Source organism: Homo sapiens, chromosome 11 (genome assembly GCF_000001405.40).
Source record: "Homo sapiens chromosome 11, GRCh38.p14 Primary Assembly".
Taxonomy (NCBI): domain Eukaryota; kingdom Metazoa; phylum Chordata; class Mammalia; order Primates; family Hominidae; genus Homo; species Homo sapiens.
This window is the reverse complement of record NC_000011.10, coordinates 105,014,525-105,039,987: the sequence shown is the minus strand read 5'-3', so window position 1 is coordinate 105,039,987 and position 25,463 is coordinate 105,014,525. Positions and strand designations below refer to the sequence as shown.

General features: G+C 39.2%; 2 protein-coding genes and 1 long non-coding RNA gene across 19 annotated transcripts in view, besides 1 other annotated feature; 2 read left to right on the top strand and 1 right to left on the bottom strand.

Annotated features, from left to right (window-relative positions):
• On the top strand, window positions 3,302-14,545 carry CASP1 (caspase 1). 12 transcript variants are annotated; one of them, XM_017018394.2, is made up of 11 exons: window positions 3,305-3,546; window positions 4,806-4,881; window positions 5,600-5,780; window positions 6,862-6,924; window positions 8,708-8,823; window positions 9,485-9,658; window positions 10,089-10,323; window positions 10,721-10,864; window positions 13,037-13,146; window positions 13,632-13,762; window positions 14,388-14,545. In XM_017018394.2, the coding sequence occupies exons 1-10, from the start codon at window positions 3,398-3,400 to the stop codon at window positions 13,728-13,730; spliced, it is 1,347 nt and encodes a 448-aa protein (XP_016873883.2). In that variant the 5' UTR covers window positions 3,305-3,397; the 3' UTR covers window positions 13,731-13,762; window positions 14,388-14,545. The 12 variants fall into 12 exon arrangements, with proteins under 12 accessions (XP_016873884.2, XP_016873883.2, XP_016873882.2 ...); XM_017018395.2 differs by lacking the exon at window positions 6,862-6,924 and having other exon boundaries at window positions 3,302-3,546; XM_017018393.2 differs by having other exon boundaries at window positions 3,306-3,546; window positions 13,632-14,480.
• On the bottom strand, window positions 4,307-23,591 carry LOC124902742 (uncharacterized). The gene is made up of 3 exons (XR_007062869.1): window positions 23,552-23,591; window positions 8,516-8,641; window positions 4,307-4,347 (listed from the first exon to the last, which is right to left on the bottom strand). It is a non-coding gene; the product is annotated as an uncharacterized LOC124902742 (long non-coding RNA).
• Window positions 4,716-4,765: an enhancer, noted in NCBI's record as "active region_5460". NCBI's record gives its function as "activates an Ori minimal core promoter by ATAC-STARR-seq in GM12878 lymphoblastoid cells {active_cell/tissue: GM12878}" and the evidence as "EXISTENCE:reporter gene assay evidence [ECO:0000049][PMID:35858748]".
• The window catches only part of CASP5 (caspase 5), a 28,926-nt gene continuing 20,282 nt past the window's right edge, over window positions 16,820-25,463 (top strand). For all 6 annotated transcript variants that reach the window (NR_036562.3, NR_024239.3, NM_001136110.3 and 3 more), the window contains exon 1: window positions 16,820-16,858. Coding sequence is in view for 4 of the 6 variants with exons in the window: in NM_001136110.3 (NP_001129582.1) it covers window positions 16,852-16,858 (7 nt within the window). In the remaining 2 variants the exon portion in view is untranslated. The remainder of the gene's footprint in view (window positions 16,859-25,463) is intronic.

Genomic DNA, 25,463 nt, shown 5'->3' with positions numbered 1-25,463 from the left:
AATTGAAACATATTTTTTTCATCCATGTTATTGCATATATTAGTAATTTTTCCCTTTCATGACTGAATAGCATTTCAGTGTACATGTATAGCACAAATTGTTATTTTATGCTCTGGAATTGGATATTTATTTGTTTCCAGTTTTTGACATCTTCATTTTTGAGGAAACAGTGGGCCCTTGCAATCTAGTGGCTCAGTGTTTAGCTTTCCATGACATGAGACTCAAGGCTTATGGTTCTACATTCCCAGATATATGGTCTAGTCATGGCTTCTGTTTCTGGGATGTCACTCTGACATGCTTCAACTCAGTGGTTCATGGCTCTGGCTGTGGGCGAAACCCTCATGTGAAATACTTTAGTTAATAGAAAAAAAATTGAATCATTTAAAAGTACATGATGGGAAGATAAGTAATACACAGGCAATTTCTGCTTTCTTCCATGCTACAAATCCTCCCAGTGGCAAGGAGCACAAGTTTGTGCTGCCATCGGATTAAGTCATTGGCAAAGTAAAGATAAAACACCATGAGAGGTTGGGCATGGTGGCTCACATCTATAATCCCAGCACTTTGGGAGGCCAAGGTGGCCAGATTACGAGGTCAGGAGTTTGAGACCAGTCTGGTGAACATAGTGAAACCCCATCTCTAGTAAAAATACAAAAAATTAGCCAGGTGTGGTGGTGCCTGTAATTCCAGCTACTTGGGAGGCTGAGGCAGGAGAATCACATGAACCCGGGAGGCGGAGATGGCACCATTGCACTCCAGTGGGGTGACAGTGCGAGACTCTGTCAAAAAATAAAAAATAAAAAAAAAAAACGATGTCCTCCTACACAGTGAGTTCTAGTCAAACCCAAACACATTTAACCCTTCACCTAGAGCACAGAAAATAAAACTGGTAGCCCACATGTCAAAAGGTGGATGTTTTTCTAACTCTGGGTCTTTAATCTCCAAAAATATTAAGGTAACAAATCAGGAGAATTTTTGGTAAAGAATTTGATAAACGTAACATACCGTGTGCATTTTGCAATTAGCCCACCTTTCATCAAATAGATTTATAAAATAAATTAGCCACATTGAGTTTGTTTCTGGGATAAGCAATTGAACATGTGATTGCAAAGGCAGAGACCTTTTCTGGCCTTCCCTGGCTCCTCTGTCTAAAGTTCATGAGTCCTGCAATATTTTGTCTCCTACTTTGCCAATTTTTTTTTTATCATTCTCATCACTTGCTACATTTGAACAGTCTGAATATTCCAGTTACATATTACATACCAGGTGTATTAGTCTGTTCTCATGCTGCTAATAAAGACATACCCAAGACTGGGTATTTATAAAGAAAAAAAGAGGTTTAATGGGCTCATAGTTCCACATGGCTGGGGAAGCCTCACAATCATGGTGGAAGGCAAAAGAGGAGCAAGGACACATCTTCCATGGAAGCAGACAAAAAGGCATGTGCAGGGGAACTCCCCTTTATGAAGCCATCAGATCTCATGAGACTTTTTCACTATCATGAGAACAACATGGGAAAAACCCACCTCCATGATTCAATTACCTCCCACCAGGTGCCTCCCATGACACCAGGGGATTATTACAATTTAAGGTGAGGTTTTGGTGGGGACACAGAGCCAAACTCTGTCATTCTGCCCCTGGCCTCTCCTAAATGTCATGTGCTCACATTTCAAAACCAATCCTGCCTTCCAACTGTTCCTCAAAGTCTTCACTCATTCCAGCATTAACCCAAAAGTCCAAGTCCAAAGTCTTCTCTAAGACAAGGCAAGTCCCTTCCACCTATGAGCCTGTAAAATCAAAAGCAAGTTAGTTACTTCCTAGATACAACGGGGATACAGGCATTGGGTAAATACACCCATTCCAAATGGGAGAAATTGGCCAAAGGAAGGGGCTACATTCCCCATGCGAGTCCAATATCCAGTAGGGCAGCCAAATCTTAAAGCTTCAAAATGATCTTTGACTCCATGTCTCATATCTCGGTCATGCTGATGCAAGAGTCGGGGTCCCATGGCCTTGGGCAGCTCCACCCTCGTGGCTTTGCAGTGTACAGCATCCCTCCTAGCTGCTTTCATGGGTTGGCATTGAGTGCCTGAGTATTCCAGGTGCATGGTGCAAGCCGTTTGTGGATCTACCATTTTAGGATCTGGAGGATGGTGGCCCTTTTCTCATGGCTCCACTAGGCAGTGCCCCAGTGAGGACTCTGTGTGGGAGCTCACACCCCACATTTCCCTTCTGCATTGCCCTAGTAGAAGTTCTTCATGAGGGTCCCACCCCTGCAGCAAACTTCTGCCTGGACATACAAGCATTTCCATACATCCTCTGAAATCTAGACAGAGGTTCCCAAACCTCAATTCTTGACTTCTGTGCCCCTACAGGCTCCACACCACATGGAAGCTGCCAAGGCTTGGGGCTTGCACCCTTTGAAGTCACAGCCCAAGCTATTTCTTGGCCCCTTTTAGCCATGGCTTCAGTGGCCCGGGAAGAAGGGCACTAAGCCTTTAGGCTGCATACAGCAGAAGGGCCCTCGGCTTACCTCATGAAAACATTTTTTTCCCTCTTAGGTCTCCAGTCCTGTGATAGGAGGGGCTGCCTGGAAGGTCTCTGACATACTCTGGAGACATATTCCCCATTGTCTTGGAGATTAATGTCTTAGAGATTAACATTTGGCTCCTCGTTACTTCTGCAAATTTCTACAGTTGGCTTGAATTTCTCCTTAGAAAGTGGGTTTTGCTTTCCCAGCACATCATCTGGCTGCGAATGTTTCAAACTTTTATGCTCTGCTTCCCTTTTAAACATAAGTTCCAATTCCAAACCATATCTTTGCAAATACATAAAAATGAATGCTTTTAACAGCACCCAAATCACTTCTGGAATGCTTTGCTGCTTAGAAATTTCTTCTGCCAGATGCCCTAAATCATCTCTCTCAAGTTCAAAGTTCCACAGATCTCTAGGGCAGGGGCAAGATGCCACCACTCTCTTCACTAAAACGCAGCAACAGTCACTTTTATTCCACTTCCCAACAAGTTCCTATCTTCATTCGAGATGAGCAGCATTTAGTCAAAGCCATTCAACAAGTCTCTAGAAAGTTCCAGATTCTATTTTCCTATCTTTCTCTAAGCCCTAAGAACTGTTCCAACCTCTGCATTTTACCCAGTTCCAACATCGCTTCCACATTTTTGGAGATCTTTACAGCAGCACTCCATTACTCAGTATAAATTTACTGCATTAGTCATTTCTCACACTGCTAATAAAGACATACTCAAGGCTGGGTAATTATATAGAACAAAAAAGATATTTAATAGACTCACAGTTCCACATGGCTGGGGAGGCCTCAGAATCATAGCAAAAGGCAAAAGAGGAGCAAGGACACGTCTTACATGGGTGCAGGCAAGAGGGTATGAGCAGAGGAATTCCCTTTTATAAAACCATCGGATCTCATGAGACATTCATTATCAAGAGAACAGCATGGAAAAAAAACAGCACCCATGATTCAATTACATCCCACCAGATACCTCCCATAACACATGAGGATTATTACAATTCAAGGTGAGATTTGAGTAGGGAAACAGAGACAGACCATATCACCAGCCTTCATGTTTGTCTTTCCCTCTTGAATGTGAGACCAAAGGGGAAAGGACCATGATATGTTTTGACTGAACCTCTGGCACCTAGAGCAATGTCGTCCGTATATGTTTGCTAAATGAATGACTAGATGCACTGCTTGAGGATTCTAACAAAAGATAAACTTAGCTAAATAATCTGCAAATAATCATCCTTGATTATTTTTCTAACCTTAAACATTTGTATTAATTATAATAATATCACTCATTATTTGCTTACCATTTGCCAGGCTATGTTCCATGCATTTTCCACATTTTCTCTCACTTAATGCTCAAAACTGTGTAGGTACATACTATTAATAAAATTATTTCACATACAGAGGAACCAATGCATAGGGAAGTTCATTATCTTGCCAAGGAAGGGAAGTTTAAAATGCTAAGTTCGACATTCTCATTCCAGAGCCTATGCTCTGGGCCTCTACAATGCAATTTCCCTCAAAAATAAACCCTCCAGGATGGGTGGGTGGCTCATGCCTGTAATCCTAGCAATTTGGGAGACCAAGGTGGGCACATTGCTTGAGCCTGGGAGCTGAAGACAAGCCTAGGAAACACAAGGAGACCCTGTCTTTACAAGAGATACAAATATTAGCTGGCCATGGTGGCATGTGCCAGTAATTGCAGCTACTCGGGAGGCTGAGTTGGAAGAATCATCTGAGCCTGGGAAGTGGAGGCTGCAGTGAGCCAAGGTCAAATAACTGCATTCCGGCCTGCACGACAGAATGATACCCTGTATCAGAAAAAAAAAAAAACAGAAAGAAAAAAGCAATGTGAAAAGAAGGACATTAAATAAGAAAAGCTTTAATTCTGGTGAAAAATGTTTCTATTTCTTAAAGCAAAAATGTTTCACAGGGACATACATTACCCACAACTTTCCCAAGAGCTATGAGGTGGGGTCAGGGGAACAGTGGTTCACATACTCCAAAGGTTGTGTTACTTTTCTCCGTCAAGCTTTCTAATGATTGAGAAACTCTTCACTGTGTGAATTTAATTGTACACATACTTTTTCAATCCTGTCTTACTCTCCAAGCCCCATTCCCCTCCTACCCTGATCTATCCAAGGGCTGGTGAAGAAAATTTCCCATGGATACACTACCTGATGCAGGCTACAGTTCTGATTCTTTAATGGGAAGAAAAATAAAGACATGCATATGCATGCACAGTGAGTATTTCCCAATACATGTACAGGCCCTGCCAAAAAGGAAGGCGAAGCATACTTTCAGTTTCAGTCACACAAGAAGGGAGGAGAGAAAAGCCATGGCCGGTGAGTCTTTTACTGTTCCAAGAACAGGTCCCTGGGAAGAAAGAGTTTTGGAAGGGGCTGGCTCTTCTGGAAGCCATAATTAGCATCTGTGGAAGTTTACTTGAGTAGAAGCAAGGAAAAGGGGGGAGAGGGAGGAGAGAAGGAACTAGAAGATTCTTGCAGACTTTAGAAAGGAAAGGCAAGCCCAGAAAGGAACTGAGGCTTTAGGGGAAGCCTGATGTCATTTTGCAATCTTAATTAAACTCTTACTTACATGTTGAAAGTCTGACAGAGGGTACAGAATTGGCACAGGAGGAGTACTAGCAGCAGTGGTTCCTAAATGAAATGGGCTATTTCTGCTTCATTACTTTATTAACCAGAGTTAAATAAACATGCGACATAAGAGGATGATCTCTGCTTTCCAGGGACTGATGTGGAAATGGTAAACTCAGTCTTCAGGTCACTCCATGCACATGTATGGAGACTATTGAGGGAAACAAGTAGGACAGCAATACAGTAAGAAGAGGGATTACCCAACTGTGAGGAGGGGGACATTTCACTGATGAAATCTAAATGAGGTCACTTTCTGTTGATTACATGAGAGGAATATGAGGCTGTTTTCATGATGTGAGAAATCCTTGTGCTCTAAACAGACAAGGTCCTGAAGGAGAAGAGAAAGCTGTTTATCCGTTCCATGGGTGAAGGTACAATAAATGGCTTACTGGATGAATTATTACAGACAAGGGTGCTGAACAAGGAAGAGATGGAGAAAGTAAAACGTGAAAATGCTACAGTTATGGATAAGACCCGAGCTTTGATTGACTCCGTTATTCCGAAAGGGGCACAGGCATGCCAAATTTGCATCACATACATTTGTGAAGAAGACAGTTACCTGGCAGGGACGCTGGGACTCTCAGCAGGTAAGGGTCAGTGACTTACACTCAAGTTCACCTAGGGCCTGTCTTCGTGCCTAACATTTGATTTCTTTACTAGTCATGTTAATTGGAAGAAAACTTTCTTATTTCTGGCTTCAGGGCCATATTTCTGTAGCAGGGTCCCTATTGCATGTCCCTTGACTCTCCTTTGATTCTTTTCCTTAATCCTCAGTGGCACTCTTCTGATTAAAGCTCATTTCCTGTTCTGAGTATGTGGTAGCTCCTTTACTGAAGCTCTTGAGAACCATCTGAAAAGCTTCATGCTGTGTTTTCCAGTGTTCCTGGCAAGGCAAAATATTTACCTGTGGATTTATTTTTGCTGAGTGCAAGGGGTCTGTAGGCACTTATGTAGTTGTAAAGTCACATGAAGCTTTAAGGTTTATAATCAAATACTTTTTATAACTTTTCTCCAAAATTTTACCCTCCCAAAAGAATAAAATATATTTCAATGATGGCGATACACTCAGAGAACACATTGAACGTATAGAAAAGTGAAGATTTCTAATGGGCTCATTCCTCCAGTTGCCTCCTTGTATTTTCTTTGAGTAAGATCACCTGGTTGCCTGTTACCAGGCTGTGGGTCATGCTGTGAGGCCTGGAAATCCTCCACTTGCAACCCTCCTCAGGCCCAATACAGGGCTCAGGAACTGAGCTGGCCAAATCTCATGACCACTTGGACCTACCACGTGGTGAGGATGAGAGTTCTGGTGGATTCCCAGTCATTGATGTCTGTGGCACTTCCTAAAGCCACTTCAGAGGGAGATGTTCTTTGAAAGCAAAAGCCTTCTGTTCTAAGGGTTAGGGAAAGCTTATGCCTGTCTAAGCAGACATTGCAGATGTTTCTGTTTTCATCTATGTGTAATAAACACGTATTTTTCTACCAATGCCTCTTTCATTTTCTACCTCCCACCACTCTCTAAATTAAAGAACATCTTTAACATTATTTAATGTCAGTCAGTCAGTCAGTGTTATGGGAGAAATTTTTAGTGGGGAGTGTTTTACAGATTGGGGTAAAGTTTTCCAGAGATGATAAGTGACTACTTCAATACCCTTTATCTTTTCATAGATCAAACATCTGGAAATTACCTTAATATGCAAGACTCTCAAGGAGTACTTTCTTCCTTTCCAGGTAATGCTGTTTTTAAAGGAAGAGCATTCTTTGACCCACATCTTCCTTGACATTAATTTTGTAGGATCAAACGTGGGTAAATGGGCTATGGAGAATTCTCATAGATTGGTCATATAATTTTCTTTTTGTAATCTATTCTGCTTTTGTAGAAACTGTTTCCACAGCTTCATTATCCACATTTATATTAAAAATTCTGAATCTGTGTCTCAAATCCTGATTACCCAAATAAGTACCAAACTTCATTATTTAAGCCTACTGAAATATTCACTCCCATCTCCCAGAGACACCTTATTCTAAACTTTCCCAGAGCTGAAAATGCTATACTTCCACACCCTGCTTCTCTTCCGGTTTTGTGTAACTTGGTTATTGGTGCCACCGTCACCAGTTGTTCAAACCAGGAACTTGAAACTCATATGGGACCCTTCCTTCTCATGCACCTCTAACATTCAACCCATGGCCAAGTTTTATGCAGGCTTTTCTCAAATTTGGAACCATCTCTCTATTTCTACTTCTATTATTTTATTAAAGAACCCCTATTCCCATAGTGCACTCTTAAACTTATATCTGAAAGCAATGTAGAGGCTAGGAATGCAAATTATTTATCAAGTTCAGATATTACTCTACTGAATTTATTAAGGTTGGGTATCATGAATATTTTCTTAAATGTTTCACAGCATGGGATATTCAATATATAAAGAAATACTGTATTCTCTACTATGAAAAAATAGCTCAAAAATAACCTAACTACTTCTAGTTTTTTTCTATTGTTTTCACACTTCTTTATGAAGAAATCCAACATTTTATCCAACAAATGATTATTCTATAATTTTTTCCAATATATCTATTCTAATTCGTTCTTCTCCACATCAGCACATTTCATGCTGCCTTTGTTTATCTAACTGATTGTATAACAATTTTTCAAATTTGTTTTTAAAATTAAATATTATTTTTTGCCTTAATAGCTTCTAAAAGATCCTCCACACATCTAGAAAACTTATTTCTATTTTAAAACAAAGGTTACATTAATTTCTTTAACAAGGACATCACATTGTTGGATTGTGTTGAACCTGTGATGAAATAAAAGGCTCAAGGATTTTCTCACATAAACTCTGTGAAAACATTTCCTCAAGTGTCTGTGCAATGAATGTTTAGTGCTATAAATCCATCTAGTGTGTACCTTGATTTTAGCATTTATCATTATATCTTCATTCTACTTCATATATTCAATATTCATGTCCTTTCATATGTATACATAGAAGGAAGAGATCCTGAAGGACAGGACAAAGATTCATTAAAAAATATTCCTAGTGCTTACTACCATGTATATTAAGTAAATAAATAAAAAGATAAACATGTATTTTAAAAAATATTTTAGTAGATTAAATTAAGACCTGATCCCATTAAATTTTATCCTAGGGTTTGAATATTTTGAAAAAAGTTTATATTCTTAACTATTTTATCTCACACATTTTTTGTTTTCTGAGTGTTTTATCAGGCATAGACTTTAAATTTTCCCTTTCTATGTTAGTATCTAAAATGCTTGTAGAAAGGCTGATCCTGAAATATGAAAGAAGATACTTGTAATGCATACCTGGAAATCTCTTGCTTGAAATGTGCTCCATTAGGAGCAAACTCACTCAGCTGTGTTAATGATGTAGATCAGGATTGTCCTCCTCAGAGTGCATTTCCTCTTCTGTGGCTTCATCCATAGGTGAGGCTGTAACAAACACAAAGTGGAACAAACAGGGATGCCACTGTTCATGATGTTCTTTGTCTCTTGCAGCTCCTCAGGCAGTGCAGGACAACCCAGCTATGCCCACATCCTCAGGCTCAGAAGGGAATGTCAAGCTTTGCTCCCTAGAAGAAGCTCAAAGGATATGGAAACAAAAGTCGGCAGAGGTGCCATGCTCAGAACCCAAGGATAGAGTGGGGTGAAAGAAACACTTCAGGCAGTTCTGAAATGCAGTGGCTTATTCTTAGAGCCAACCTCATTGAGCAGTTCTGGAGAATCATACTTCTGCTCCCCTTACATAAAGGATTTCTATATCCTAGAATCCCAGGTTTATAGAAAGAGGTCCAAATTGGATCCACTTCCGGGGTAAATAACATCAGTGATGACAGCTATTGAATGCTTATTAAGAATGGGCATTGTTCTAAGCATTTTGCACATGATAATATATAATTTTTAACCTTAAACACAACCCATTTTAGAGATCAAGAAGCTGAGACGGGATTGTTAAATATTTTTCCCAAAGAAAAACAATCAGAAATTGGAACAATCAGTTTTAGAATTCAGTCATTTTTGCTTCAAAGCTTGTGCATCTTTCAAAATCCTACCTATCAAGAACAACGAAGTCAGAAGCTCAGCTGCCATCTGGGCATTTGCAATGTCCATGCATACTCTTGAAGCAGCATTCAATTCTGTTCCCCCTTTTCAATGTATGGTTCATGGGGTTTGGTATCTTGATAGGACTAAGGAAGGGGAAGCTGTCATAAACCAGGAAGGGAAATATTTAATTGGAAAGAACAAGGCTGTTCATTCAAATTGCATTTCCTACAGATTTATCCAATAATGGACAAGTCAAGCCGCACACGTCTTGCTCTCATTATCTGCAATGAAGAATTTGACAGTATTCCTAGAAGAACTGGAGCTGAGGTTGACATCACAGGCATGACAATGCTGCTACAAAATCTGGGGTACAGCGTAGATGTGAAAAAAAATCTCACTGCTTCGGTAAGTTCTATTATACAACAGAAACAATGGTTATGCCCTTCGTATAACTGAATAATATTAGAAAGCTTGGTTGTAAGACCAAGAAATGTAATCTCTTGATAATCTAAAATACAAACTTGCCATGAGAGAGTGCTGGATACTACATGGTCCTTTGTAACATAAGAGTCATGCAGCACAAGCCTGGTATAACTGAATTGGGAAATGTTTTATTGACTCAGTAATGCCACTGTCTCTCTACAAGATAACTCTGGATGACTTCCTATAACACTTTCCTTCACCTTTCTTGAAACTAAGACTAAATTTTTTTTTGGCACCCTGTTGTTTGTCACGGAATTCCTTAAGAAACTCCTTAAGTATTTATTTATTGACTTTCCAAGGTACCATGATAGTTAATTACATAGTCGAAAATCAGTGATATGGTGTCTTTCAGGACATGACTACAGAGCTGGAGGCATTTGCACACCGCCCAGAGCACAAGACCTCTGACAGCACGTTCCTGGTGTTCATGTCTCATGGTATTCGGGAAGGCATTTGTGGGAAGAAACACTCTGAGCAAGTCCCAGATATACTACAACTCAATGCAATCTTTAACATGTTGAATACCAAGAACTGCCCAAGTTTGAAGGACAAACCGAAGGTGATCATCATCCAGGCCTGCCGTGGTGGTGAGTGCTGATGCCTTTGAGAACACCAGACAATCAAATACTATCCTACTCTGTATGCATCCAAGAATTTTTGGTTTCTTTTGGTTTGTCTTTTAATGTCAAAGAACACATACTGTCAGTATTCAAGAATGCAGCTTCTGTGAATTGAATGGCTGGTTGGTAGATATTTATTCCATATTTAAGCTTGAGATTTTGATGTTTGGAAATTTTTACAATTTGTTTGATGGTTAGAAAAGATAAACATTGTTGAAAAGATTGTAACTGAAATGCATGTGTCTATTTGCATGTGAATTAATGATAGAGCAAACACATTAATAAATATCATTGAACAGAGGCTAGGAGGAAAACATCTTCTCAGCCATTGGTAGTAGTAACAAATCAAACTGTGTCTTTCCAGACAGCCCTGGTGTGGTGTGGTTTAAAGATTCAGTAGGAGTTTCTGGAAACCTATCTTTACCAACTACAGAAGAGTTTGAGGATGATGCTATTAAGAAAGCCCACATAGAGAAGGATTTTATCGCTTTCTGCTCTTCCACACCAGGTAACAGGTTTCTACACAGGACATCTTTGTTGGGGCTATCAATAGAAAAAGTGACAATAACCCACTAGAGGTGGTGATTAACAACTCAAGACCAACTCAAGCTTTGTTCCAAGTTATACACAGAATTCCCTTTATCCAAGAGAGCAATTTTGCATATCTGTTCAATGCATTACTAATTAAAGAATTCATCTATGTTTCAAAATATTTTTGGAACTTTGAGCGATAGCAGAGAATTAAATGGAAGACGGTATGTGCTGTAGTACATTAGAATCTGACTCTGCATAGAAAATTCTGCCATGTTGAGATCATTCATTAGTCCAATTTGCCCAGACATCAAATATTTATAGGAGAAGAGTAAGAGCAAGATTCTGAAAAGCAGAACAGCAAGCGAGACACTTTGGGGCCCTAAATTAAAGTGGGTTTTACCTAGAAGCATGAAGTGTGTGAGACAGAATATATTTGAATTTTTCTAAACGTATGCTTTGGAGTAAGAATCTTGCTATTATTGACTGACCCAGACATTTAGTATTTTGTAAAACAGTTCCACTAGTTCCTCCTCGGGCTTTCCTTGAATTGCTGACTAATATGTGAATATAAATATTATTTTTCTAAGGATTTAATAAATTAATATATTTGAAATATTGGGCACGACACAAAATAAAGCACACATTAAAAAACTGCTATTATTTAAAATGTATATATTTGATAACTTAATTCAGTTACTTTTCTAAGCAAGGTTTAAATAAAAATTATTTAAATCCTTTCATTCACCACCTTTGGCAGTTTCCTGAGAGGACTTGCATTCTCTTGGTCACCTCTGGCCCAAAGGCCCTGTCTCTGCTCAAATAGTTAAGTTTTCTAAAATATTTTCTAAAATGAGATATCTTCTTTCAGAAGAAGCTTGGTTCTACATTGGGTTGAACATGCCCTGATGTAGAACTCAATAATTTTTTTTTCCCAATGATCAGAAACAATGACACTACCCAAAAACACCATATATTTTCAGCCTGAGTACGTATAGCAGAGTTTAATATTAGACAGAACTGTTCGTTAGTATCCTTTGATCCCAGCCTTCCACATGACATTCACCGCTCTCTAAGTAGCTCTTTGTAGGCCTCTGGCTTCTCATTATCAATCTGGCTGATTTATGTGTCTTTCTTTTCTTTCACTTTCCTTACTCCTACCTTCTAGATGACTGTCAGAAACTCCAATTCAGTTATCTATAACTTCCATGTTAAACCTATCTCCACATTCTGCTGTGCCAATCCCAACCACATCATAGTGATCTCCTGAAGAAAAATAATTATCTACTTCCTTAATTTCACAAAACATTTGCAAAGATATCTGTCTCCACGATATCTTTCACTTACTTCCTTTTACTAGAACAAGTCTCAGTTAAAGGCTTCATTTAGCTGAGATAGCTGGGTTTCTAAATAGAATTTTATTATCAATATATACTTTATGACCATTAGAACTGGCTAAAATGTGTCATTAAAGAATGTGTCTGTCATTACATACAGAGCTATTGCTGCTGCTTTTCTCTTATGACTTCCTTTGCATAATTTTATGCCTTCATTACTTCTGTGTCTACTATGTAATAAATTAATATTTTTCTTTAATATTTCTCTTCTTCATAAGAACTTTTTTCCTCCAATATACTGTGCTTATTTCCTTATCTACTCCTCCTAGATTTCTACTTTTGTTCTGTTTTATGATTTTTATAGTTAACTTTTTGTGTGTAAATATCTTACTGTCAATGTTATTTAATTTCGATTAATCTTTTATGAAGTACATAAATTGAGAATTTGATAATATAATTACCCCATGTAGACTGAGTATTGCATATCCTGGGTTATCTCAAACACTTGCGTGACCTCAGATACCTCTTGTGTATGGAGTTATTACCATCCCCTGTATAGCTAGCTGAGTCTATTAAATATCAGAATGCATAATTAACTTAAATCACAGTCAGTAATACCACTTTGGGAATGCACATTTAGATATTTCATTTCCAAATCCCAATCACTCCCCTCTACCCCATTCCGCCTTTTCCTTATTTGCTACTAAATTTATGATTTCAAACATCCCTCAGCTGGAGTATAAATACTAGGGTTTCTTCTCTTTCTTCAGGCAAGAGCCAGTCTTGAGATTTGAAATGTGCTTTATCCATAGATAATGTTTCTTGGAGACATCCCACAATGGGCTCTGTTTTTATTGGAAGACTCATTGAACATATGCAAGAATATGCCTGTTCCTGTGATGTGGAGGAAATTTTCCGCAAGGTAAGATGCTAGTGGATGCTATTTTCACTCTACTTCCCTGAATGCTTGGCTATTGCAATTGGAAGCATAGAAAGCAGATCCAGACAAGTTTATCTTCCAATAATGCTCTTCTTTCCAAAAGAGTTTTGGAGTTCTTTGGAGAGTGGACAAACCCAGGAGCCTAATCCAATCTATTAAGACCCACAGCCTTGAGAAAACAATCATTTAGTTTCACCCCGCTCCTGCCCTGCAGAGACAAATGAATGGACTCTAATTTACCTGTGTCTCTCATGGCTATTAGATCCAGCAGCAGATTTAAAATGCCCTGAGGAGGGTCATTCAATGCTTACATACATATATGGTTATACTTGTTGCAGATGGAAGTACTTTTTGTTTTTGTCACTTATTTTGCTATATTTGTTGTAGTTTTTTGGCATAACTCAAGAAATTCTTGAAAAAAAAAACTCAGCAAAAAAAAGGGCTACAGACTTTCCTTACTCTTTTAGGTTCGATTTTCATTTGAGCAGCCAGATGGTAGAGCGCAGATGCCCACCACTGAAAGAGTGACTTTGACAAGATGTTTCTACCTCTTCCCAGGACATTAAAATAAGGAAACTGTATGAATGTCTGTGGGCAGGTACATGTGTATGGTCGGGAGTGTGGGAAGGTTGAGGAAAGGGTACTGAAAGTCCATTTGAGTCAAGAACTCTAGGTTTACAGGCTGAGAATCCTTAATCCAAAAATTTGAATTTTGAAATGCTCTAAAATCCAACACTGTGTGAGCGCCCACATGATATTCAAAGGAAATGTTTATTGAAACATTTCAAATTATAGGTTTTTGGATTAGGGATGCTAAACCAGTAAGTATACAGCTGAATTCCAATATACAAAAATATCTGAAATTTGAAATACTTCTGGTAGCATGCATTTTGGATAAGGGATAATCAAGCCATATACAGAAAATACTGAAGTAATGCCTTTCTTCTGGTCAGTGCAGAGCACGTTGCTCTTCTCCCAAAGTTTTTCATTTAGACCCCTTTTGAGATTCATCTGATATTGGCCTAGAAGTGGCCGTAAGACTACAAACCCTCACTTTTGGATGTTTCTCTCCTTCACCTCAGCAGGGTATATTTAAACATAGCATGTGGTCTTTCCTTTTAAAATTGTGTATGTTCCCATTGGTGGTATAACTTTATAACTTGCATGTCTTTAACAAAATTCTTTCCTATGTTTTTTTTTTTAATTATTTCTTTTTCTCATAGGAAGTGAAGAGATCCTTCTGTAAAGGTTTTTGGAATTATGTCTGCTGAATAATAAACTTTTTTGAAATAATAAATCTGGTAGAAAAATGAAAACTTGTCCTCATTTTTCTCCCACACTGAAGAAACAGGGACTGGAACTTAGAGTGACTAAGGAATTTAGAGTGTTTGACTTAATCTGTCAGACCCAAACTGGCTATTGGCACCTTTCTTTCCCAGAACTTAAAGTAAAATAAAATATAAAAATTTAAAAAAGAAAATCAGACTTACAAACATAGCAATGTTATTAATTACTTTCTTGAACAAAAATTTATTTTGTGCCATTTTTAAAAAAAGAAAAATCGTTTGCTGGGCTTTCTGCTTTGGGGATGTGATATAAGTTACAGCAGGTATCTGACTTCAAATAATTTAGAGCTCAGCAGGAGAGACGGGGGAAGACAGCTAGTTATGACAGCGACAGTGTAGTGTGATAAAGAACTTTTCCCAAATCCCACAGTTTGCTACTGACAAATCCATGAACTTGCATGTTTCTACCCTTTGCAAAAGTATTTAAGACAAAGTAAGTTTTGAATCAACCCTCAGTAGTTCACAGACTTCTTGAAAAGATAAGACAGCCATCCAAAATGAAGCGCTTGGCAGATGGTGCCTGACACCCTGAAGAAACTCTAGGATGCATGGTGTGCACAGTGAAGTCCTGGCATGGTGCAGAGAAAACGAGTTTGGGGTGAAATCATGCACTCAGGGATGTTAAGATTTAGGGAGGATTCGAAGAACTACCCCTTACTTGCAAATATGTTTTTTTCTAATATTTAACAGATTAAATGAGAGTTAATTTCTGACTTCTTAAACACCTTCATAGTTGAACACATTACAGTCTCTCTCTCTCTCTCTTTTTTTTTTTTTTTACCTTTTATTAACTGTTTCTCTGGGCATATCTCTTCTGTGTTATCATGCATACTCTACTACAACCTGAGACTACATCTGTGATCAGTCTTTGCTCAGAGAATATCAAAAAGGAGAAGTGAATTGCCACCCTAAGTAAAAATTAACTGTTAAAGCAGTTTTAGTCAGTTGAAGAACAGCATTCCAGGAAGTAGATAAGAGGATTCCTTCAGAACTGTCTCCAATCAAAGCGTAAGATGACAGGGAGATGGGGAGGAGAAGACTCCATCATGATTCCTCAGCACAGTTTAAACAAGAAATACATTTATTGAATAAACAATCCTTTCCTTGTTTCTTTTTGCTGTTGTTGTTGACTTTGTTGAGTATCAGTTGGTTATAGGTGTGTGGCTTTATTTTGGGGTTCTCTATTCTGTTCCATTGGGCTTTGTGTCTGTTTTTTTTGTACGAATACCTTGCTGTTGTGGTTACTGTAGACTTCTAGCATAGCTTGAAGTCCAGTAATGTGATGCATCCATCTTTTTGAAAAGCAGTTTGGAGATTTACCAAATAACTAAAAAAAGAACTATCATTTGTCCAAGCATCCCATTACTGACTGAATCCTCAAAGGAAAATGTACTGTTCTATCAAAAAGACATGTGCTTTCAAATGTTTGTCGCAGCACTATTCACTGTAGCCAAAATAATAGAATCAACCCAGGTGTCCATCAATGGTGGATTGGATTTAAAAAAATGTGGTACACTGCTACTATGGAATGTTACACAGCCATAAAAATGAAACCCTGCCCTTTGCAGCAACATGGATGCAACTGGAGGCCATTATTCTAAGCAAATTAATGCAGAAACAGAAAACCAAATATCACATAATCTCACTTGTAAGTTCTAGCTAAATATTGTGTACACATGGACATAAAGACGGGAATAACAGACACAGGGAAATACCAGAGGGAGGAATGAAGGAAGAAGGCAAGAGCCGAAAAACTATGTACTGGGTGCTATTCTCACTACCTAGGTAATAGGTTAAATTGTACTACAAACCTCTGCATCACCTAATATACTCTTGTAACAAACCTGCATATGTACCCCTGAAACTCAAATAAAAATTGAAATGAAAAATAAAGAAACCCAAGATATACAAAATATTTGGTTAATTCTTATGGGAAGATGCAAGGAAACTAGTTAGATTTTACTCATTCAGGACATGTGTTTTTAGACGAGCAGAGGTAGAAAAACTGACAGATCAGAAGAGAGGGATGAATAAAAGAAGATGTGGGGCTATGGAGAGAGAAAAGGAAAAAGAAAACCAGGCTGAGGTTTCAACCCACAAAACAATGTTTTGTCATTTGCATTTTTTTTCCCCAGGGAAGAATCTAGAGTTCAAGAATAGAAAGCCAATTTGCTTACTACAGGGCACTTCCCAATGATGAAACTATAGGTTCCCAGAAGCAACTTCCCATAATCTGTAATCACTTGTCCCCACTCCCTGCAATAAGGAAGTACCTAGTGTATTTTATCTCTGAGTCTGAGGCACTTTCCAGTGCTGTACAAAGAGACAGAGGCTGTTAGCTATGGCTGGTGAGTCTGGGCCCTTTTCTGACTAGCAGCTGGGTACTCAGGTCTTAGAAAAATCTTGATTTATTGCTATGTGACAGGCAGAAATACCAAAAGGGAAATCAACCAATAGTGTGCATGCTGAATCTTTCTCTTATTGGTGGTATGTAGTTTGAATCCTGAGACTGTGTAGAGACACTGAAGGAGAGTATGTTCTCTAGATGTTTTCAAGCCAGAAAAAGGTTAATTCCTTTCTTTCAGCTTCTGGTAATCAAAGAGAGAGTAAGGAAAGACAGAGTAAGTTATTTGTGTGAGAAAACTCCGGAAATTTCTAAATGCACTCTGAAATCTTCTCTGCTTCCTCTTGATTCCAAATTAATCCTCCAGACTATGAACCTTCTCCCCACAATCAGATCTGAGAGCCTCTGTGTTCTCAACGTGTTGTCATCTCTTATCTTGAATTATCTTATTGGTCTGTTTAAAGTGATTGCATTTTTCCACCTTTCTATGTAGTCCTGGTACTAACTCTTATAATGTAATATATCTTAGGTTGCTATCATAGACTTTTAACTGTCTTCCCACTCCCAAAAACTTAACCCTTCAGTCCATACTGCACACTACTTTCAGGCCAACTGTCTTATACACAGAAGCTAAAAAAGCCTATGAGTTGGAGTCCTGGGCTACTTAAGCAGCTCGTATTCCAGCAGGTCATATTGCGTCTTTGGTTTCATTCTCCTCACTGGAAAAAGGAAGAAACTGGAATAGATCAGTGCTTTCTAAACCTTATAACATATATGAATAATCTGCAGTCTTTTTTTTTCTTTAATTTATTTATTTATTATTATTATACTTTAAGTTTTAGGGTACATGTGCACAATGTGCAGGTTAGTTACATATGTATACATGTGACATGCTGGTGGGCTGCACCCACTAACTCGTCATCTAGCATTAGGTATACCTCCCAATGCTATCCCTCCCCCCTCCCCCCACCCCACAACAGGCTCCAGAGTGTGATGTTCCCCTTCCTGTGTCCATGTGTTCTCATTGTTCAGTTCCCACCTATGAGTGAGAATATGCGGTGTTTGGTTTTTTGTTCTTGTGATAGTTTACTGAGAATGATGATTTCCAATTTCATCCATGTCCCTACAAAGGACATGAACTCATCATTTTTTATGGCTGCATAATATTCCATGGTGTATATGTGCCACATTTTCTTAATCCAGTCTATCATTGTTGGACATTTGGGTTGGTTCCAAGTCTTTGCTATTGTGAATAATGCCACAATAAACATACGTGTGCATGTGTCTTTATAGCAGCATGATTTATAGTCCTTTGGGTATATACCCAGTAAAGGGATGGCTGGGTCAAATGGTATTTCTAGTTCTAGATCCCTGTGGAATCGCCACACTGACTTCCACAATGGTTGAACTAGTTTACAGTCCCACCAACAGTGTAAAAGTGTTCCTATTTTTCCACATCCTCTCCAGCACCTGTTGTTTCCTGACTTTTTAATGATTGCCATTCTAACTCGTGTGAGATGGTATCTCATTGTGGTTTTGATTTGCATTTCTCTGATGGCCAGTGATGGTGAGCACTTTTTCATGTGTTTTTTGGCTGCATAAATGTCTTCTTTTGAGAAGTGTCTGTTCATGTCCTTCGCCCACTTTTTGATGGGGTTGTTTGTTTTTTTCTTGTAAATTTGTTTGAGTTCATTGTAGATTCTGGATATTAGCCCTTTGTCAGACGAGTAGGTTGCGAAAATTTTCTCCCATTTTGTAGGTTGCCTGTTCACTCTGACGGTAGTTTCTTTTGCTGTGTAGAAGCTCTTTAGTTTAATTAGATCCCATTTGTCAATTTTGGCTTCTGTTGCCATTGCTTTTGGTGTTTTAGACATGAAGTCCTTGCCCATGCCTATGTCCTGAATGGTAATGTCTAGGTTTTCTTCTAGGGTTTTTATGGTTTTAGGTCTAACTTTTAAGTCTTTAATCCATCTTGAATTAATTTTTGTATAAGGTGTAAGGAAGGGATCCAGTTTCAGCTTTCTACATATGGCTAGCCAGTTTTCCCAGCACCATTTATTAAATAGGGAATCCTTTCCGCATTGCTTGTTTGTCTCAGGTTTGTCAAAGATCAGATAGTTGTAGATATGCGGCATTATTTCTGAGGGCTCTGTTCTGTTCCATTGATCTATATCTCTGTGTTGGTACCAGTACCATGCTGTTTTGGTTACTGTAGCTTTGTAGTATAGTTTGAAGTCAGGTAGTGTGATGCCTCCAGCTTTGTTCTTTTGGCTCAGGATTGACGTGGCAATGCGGGCTCTTTTTTGGTTCCATATGAACTGTAAAGTAGTTTTTTCCAATTCTGTGAAGAAAGTCATTGGTAGCTTGATGGCGATGGCATTGAATCTGTAAATTATCTTGGGCAGTATGGCCATTTTTCACGATATTGATTCTTCCTACCCATGAGCATGGAATGTTCTTCCATTTGTTTGTACCCTCTTTTATTTCCTTGAGCAGTGGTTTGTAGTTCTCCTTGAAGAGGTCCTTCACATCCCTTGTAAGTTGGATTCCTAGGTATTTTATTCTCTTTGAAGCAATTGTGAATGGGAGTTCACTCATGATTTGGCTCTCTGTTTGTCTGTTGTTGGTGTATAAGAATGCTTGTGATTTTTGTACATTGATTTTGTATCCTGAGACTTTGCTGAAGTTGCTTATCAGCTTAAGGAGATTTTGGGCTGAGACAATGGGGTTTTCTAGATATACAATCATGTCGTCTGCAAACAGGGACAATTTGACTTCCACTTTTCCTAATTGAATACCCTTTATTTTCTTCTCCTGCCTGATCGCCCTGGCCAGAACTTCCAACACTATGTTGAATAGGAGTGGTGAGAGAGGGCATCCCTGTCTTGTGCCAGTTTTCAAAGGGAATGCTTCCAGTTTTTGCCCATTCAGTATGATATTGGCTGTGGGTTTGTCATAGATAGCTCTTATTATTTTGAAATACATCCCATCAATACCTAATTTATTGAGAGTTTTTAGCATGAAGCGTTGTTGAATTTTGTCAAAGAACTTTTCTGCATCTATTGAGATAATCACGTGGTTTTTGTCTTTGGTTCTGTTTATATGCTGGATTATATTTATTGATTTGCGTATATTGAACCAGCCTTGCATCCCAGGGATGAAGCCCCCTTGATCATGGTGGATAAGCTTTTTGATGTGCTGCTAGATTCGGTTTGCCAGTATTTTATTGAGGATTTTTGCATCAATGTTCATCAAGGATATTGGTCTAAAATTCTCTTTTTTGGTTGTGTCTCTGCCCGGCTTTGGTATCAGGATGATGCTGGCCTCATAAAATGAGTTAGGGAGGATTCCCTCTTTTTCTATTGATTGGAATAGTTTCAGAAGGAATGGTACCAGTTCCTCCTTGTACCTCTGGTAGAATTCGGCTGTGAATCCATCTGGTCCTGGACTCTTTTTAGTTGGTAAGCTTTTGATTATTGCCACAATTTCAGATCCTGTTATTGGTCCATTCAGAGATTCAACTTCTTCCTGGTTTAGTCTTGGGAGAGTGTATGTGTCCAGAAACTTATCCATTTCTTCTAGATTTTCTAGTTTATTTGCGTAGAGGTGTTTGTAGTATTCTCTGATGGTAGTTTGTATTTCTGTGGGATCGGTGGTGATATCCCCATTATCATTTTTTATTGCGTCTATTTGATTCTTCTCTCTTTTTTTCTTTATTAGTCTTGCTAGCGGTCTATGAATTTTGTTGATCCTTTCAAAAAACCAGCTCCTGGATTCATTAATTTTTTGAAGGGTTTTTTGTGTCTCTATTTCCTTCAGTTCTGCTCTGATTTTAGTTATTTCTTGCCTTCTGCTAGCTTTTGAATGTGTTTGCTCTTGCTTTTCTAGTTCCTTTAATTGTGATGTTAGGGTGTCAATTTTGGATCTTTCCTGCTTTCTCTTGTGGGCATTTAGTGCTATAAATTTCCCTCTACACACTGCTTTGAATGCATCCCAGAGATTCTGGTATGTTGTATCTTTGTTCTCGTTGGTTTCAAAGAACATCTTTATTTCTGCCTTCATTTCATTATGTACCCAGTAGTCATTCAGGAGCAGGTTGTTCAGTTTCCATGTAGTTGAGTGGTTTTGAGTGAGATTCTTAATCCTGAGTTCTCGTTTGATTGCACTGTGGTCTGAGAGATAGTTTGTTATAATTTCTGTTCTTTTACATTTGCTGAGGAGTGCTTTACTTCCAACTATGTGGTCAATTTTGGAATAGGTGTGGTGTGGTGCTGAAAAAAATGTATATTCTGTTGATTTGGGGTGGAGAGTTCTGTAGATGTCTATTAGGTCCGCTTGGTGCAGAGCTGAGTTCAATTCCTGGGTATCCTTGTTGACTTTCTGTCTCGCTGATCTGTCTAATGTTGACAGTGGGGTGTTAAAGTCTCCCATTATTAATGTGTGGGAGTCTAAGTCTCTTTGTAGGTCACTCAGGACTTGCTTTATGAATCTGGGTGCTCCTGTATTGGGTGCATATATATTTAGGATAGTTAGCTCTTCTTGTTGAATTGATCCCTTTACCATTATGTAATGGCCTTCTTTGTCTCTTTTGATCTTTGTTGGTTTAAAGTCTGTTTTATCAGAGACTAGGACTGCAACCCCTGCCTTTTTTTGTTTTCCATTTGCTTGGCAGATCTTCCTCCATCCTTTTATTTTGAGCCTATGTGTGTCTCTGCATGTGAGATGGGTTTCCTGAATACAGCACACTGGTGGGTCTTGACTCTATCCAATTTGCCAGTCTGTGTCTTTTAATTGGAGCATTTAGTCCATTTACATTTAAAGTTAATATTGTTATGTGTGAATTTGATCCTGTCATTATGATGTTAGCTGGTTATTTTGCTCGTTAGTTGATGCAGTTTCTTCCTAGTCTCGATGGTCTTTACATTTTGGCATGATTTTGCAGCGGCTGGTACCGGTTGTTCCTTTCCATGTTGAGTGCTTCCTTCAGGAGCTCTTTTAGGGCAGGCCTGGTGGTGACAAAATCTCTCAGCATTTGCTTGTCTGTAAAGTATTTTATTTCTCCTTCACTTATGAAGCTTAGTTTGGCTGGATATGAAATTCTGGGTTGAAAATTCTTTTCTTTAAGAATGTTGAATATTGGCCCTCATTCTCTTCTGGCTTGTAGAGTTTCTGCCGAGAGATCTGCTGTTAGTCTGATGGGCTTCTCTTTGAGGGTAACCTGACCTTTCTCTCTGGCTGCCCTTAACATTTTTTCCTTCATTTCAACTTTGGTGAATCTGACAATTATGTGTCTTGGAGTTGCTCTTCTCGAGGAGTATCTTTGTGGCATTCTCTGTATTTCCTGAATCTGAATGTTGGCCTGCCTTGCTATATTGGGGAAGTTCTCCTGGATAATATCCTGCAGAGTGTTTTCCAACTTGGTTCCATTCTCCCCGTCACTTTCAGGTACACCAATCAGACGTAGATTTGGTCTTTTCACATAGTCCCATATTTCTTGGAGGCTTTGCTCATTTCTTTTTATTCTTTTTTCTCTAAACTTCCCTTCTTGCTTCATTTCATTCACTTCATCTTCCATCGCTGATACCCTTTCTTCCAGTTGATCGCATCGGCTCCTGAGGCTTCTGCATTCTTCACGTAGTTCTCGAGCCTTGGTTTTCAGCTCCATCAGCTCCTTTAAGCACTTCTCTGTATTGGTTATTCTAGTTATACATTCTTCTAAATTTTTTTCAAGGTTTTCAACTTCTTTGCCTTTGGTTGAATGTCCTCCCGTAGCTCGGAGTAATTTGATCATCTGAAGCCTTCTTCTCTCAGCTTGTCAAAGTCATTCTCCATCCAGCTTTGTTCCGTTGCTGGCGAGGAACTGCGTTCCTTTGGAGGAGGAGAGTCGCTCTGCTTTTTAGAGTTTCCAGTTTTTCTGCTCTGTTTTTTCCCCATCTTTGTGGTTTTTTCTACTTTTGGTCTTTGATGATGGTGATGTACAGATGGGTTTTTGGTGTGGATGTCCTTTCTGTTTGTTAGTTTTCCTTCTAACAGACAGGACCCTCAGCTGCAGGTCTGTTGGAGTACCCGGCCGTGTGAGGTGTCAGTCTGCCCCTGCTGGGGGGTGCCTCCCAGTTAGGCTGCTCGGGGGGTCAGGAGTCAGGGACCCACTTGAGGAGGCAGTCTGCCCGTTCTCAGATCTCCAGCTGCGTGCTGGGAGAACCACTGCTCTCTTCAAAGCTGTCAGACAGGGACATTTAAGTCTGCAGAGGTTACTGCTGTCTTTTTGTTTGTCTGTGCCCTGCCCCCAGAGGTGGAGCCTACAGAGGCAGGCAGGCCTCCTTGAGCTGTGGTGGGCTCCACCCAGTTCGAGCTTCCTGGCTGCTTTGTTTACCTAAGCAAGCCTGGGCAATGGTGGGCGCCCCTCCCCCAGCCTCGCTGCTGCCTTGCAGTTTGATCTCAGACTGCTGTGCTAGCAATCAGCGAGACTCCGTGGGCGTAGGACCCTCCGAGCCAGGTGCAGGATATAATCTGATGCGCCATTTTTTAAGCCGGTTGGAAAAGCGCAGTATTCGGGTGGAAGTGACCCGATTTTCCAGGTGCCGTGTGTCACCCCTTTCTTTGACTAGGAAAGGGAACTCCCTGACCCCTTGCGCTTCCCGAGTGAGGCAATGCCTCGCCCTGCTTCGGCTTGCACACGGTGCACGCACCCACTGACCTGCGCCCACTGTCTGGCACTCCTTAGTGAGATGAACCCGGTACCTCAGATGGAAATGCAGAAATCACCCGTCTTCTGCTCGCTCACGCTGGGAGCTGTAGACTGGAGCTGTTCCTATTCGGCCATCTTGGCGCCTCCCCCTGCAGTCATATTTAAAAATCAGATTACCACTGCATTCCCAACCCTGAATAGCTCAATCTTTAACAGACTGTAGGCATTTATTAACCTTTAAAGATCTGCAGACAATTCTTATGAAGCTAGCCTGGCACAGGTTCTTCTGCAGGTTAGCATCATTAGCAAAGGTGGTCAGTTAGTTAACTCTCACCTCTCACATGCTAGGGATCTATTAATGTAATTTTCTTACTCAGCAACATACATTGGCTCCCTATTGCCTTTTTAAAAATATCTAAACTTTCAGATAGTGTTTTAGATGGTGTTTCTGTCTTTCAAAATATACTTATTCATTTTTCCATTAATCACTCTAAGGCACGATTTTTACGTTCATAAGAAAAAGAAGCAAATGTTTACTGTATTTTACTTCACTTGTACTTCCTTGCTGTTGAGTTTCTTTATTCGATTCTCCCACTAGCTTAATTATCTCCAAGGTTTACATCTCACCTCACAACATTTAACTGAAACTCCTAAAATGCAGGAATTGCTTGCTTTTAAATTTTTTTTTTTTTTGTCTATTTTATGATACTAAAAAGCATTTGGCCAGGGAGGAGTAAGTCAAATTCATAGCCATGGCTGCCTCTTTGGCCGGGCAGGCTGACTTTACTGGTCGTAGACTGGAGTCAGGAGAATCATTAGATAATAGATAGGAGAAATTGAAGAGCACTAATCAAAAATAAGTTAAGTGGGTTAATAATTATAAACAACCATGTGTAGTTGGTCTTTGTTAAATAAAACTAGTGAAAAACAGTATCCTATATAAAATGTGTAAGAACATCACATCACTTTGCCTAGGACCAAAACTGCTCTTGATGAATTTGGCCTCTAAATTATTCCATTCGTTTTTATTATCACTGCATCTTCAATTCATTGATTACTAAAATAACAAAAAGTAATCAATAAAAACTGTTTTTTAAAAATAATACTGTGTGATCGGTATCTCTTGCACTCTCTGTGACTGAATATTTAAAACCAGTCAGTTAAGTTTGTGCTATTATTGCCATTTTATAGTTGAGGAAGGTGTCTAGAAAAGGACTACGAAATTTTCTTTTGGTCTAATGTCTGTTGAGAAGAGTGAATCTAGGTTGGCCTGACTCTTAAACTCAACACTCTAATGTTCTGTCAATTTTCTGCAAACAAACATCTTCAAATGATGGCCCTATCTCATCACGCCCACTTCAGTCCTGGCTGCACACTTCAATACTTTCTAAAGCCCAGCTAGCCCAGCTTCCTGATTACTTTAGACACCCTAAAATCTTTGTGTTTCTTCCCACACTGCTCTCTGTTAGGGGACCAGCCCTCACTTGTCCAAGGGGCAAATTCCTCCTAGTCTTTCAGGTCTCAGTGCCAAGCCCTCCCTTCTCTGGACAGCTATCTTCTACCTGAAACACAGTGTGCTCATGCTTTTTTTTGAGCATCTGCTCGTTATTTAAATTCTTACAATGTTTTTTATTTGATGTATTTGCATATCTATCTTTCCACTTGACTGTAAGCTTGAACATGTAAGAACATTTCCTCAAAATGGTACCCTCACAACTAGCAGAGTATTTTTCACAAACTTTTGCTCACCAAATTTTCCAGAATGAATATGCCTTCCTTCTGCTTAAAACTTCCAGTGTGTGCTTATTGTCTATTAAATAAAATCAAACTTACTTACCTTTTATTAAATATTCTTCAAGAGTTGGGCCATACCTAAAATTTATTCATTTGTTTCTACATTCACTCAACTAGTGATTCAGTA

Coding starts and splice junctions, on each gene's coding strand:
- CASP1 (XM_017018394.2), top strand. CDS start 3,398: ATGAGCAGAGGAATTCCCTTTTATAAAACCATCGGATCTCATGAGACA. Junction 9,659..10,088: donor AAAAAAATCTCACTGCTTCG/GTAAGTTCTATT, acceptor GGTGTCTTTCAG/GACATGACTACAGAGCTGGA. Junction 10,324..10,720: donor CATCCAGGCCTGCCGTGGTG/GTGAGTGCTGAT, acceptor GTGTCTTTCCAG/ACAGCCCTGGTGTGGTGTGG.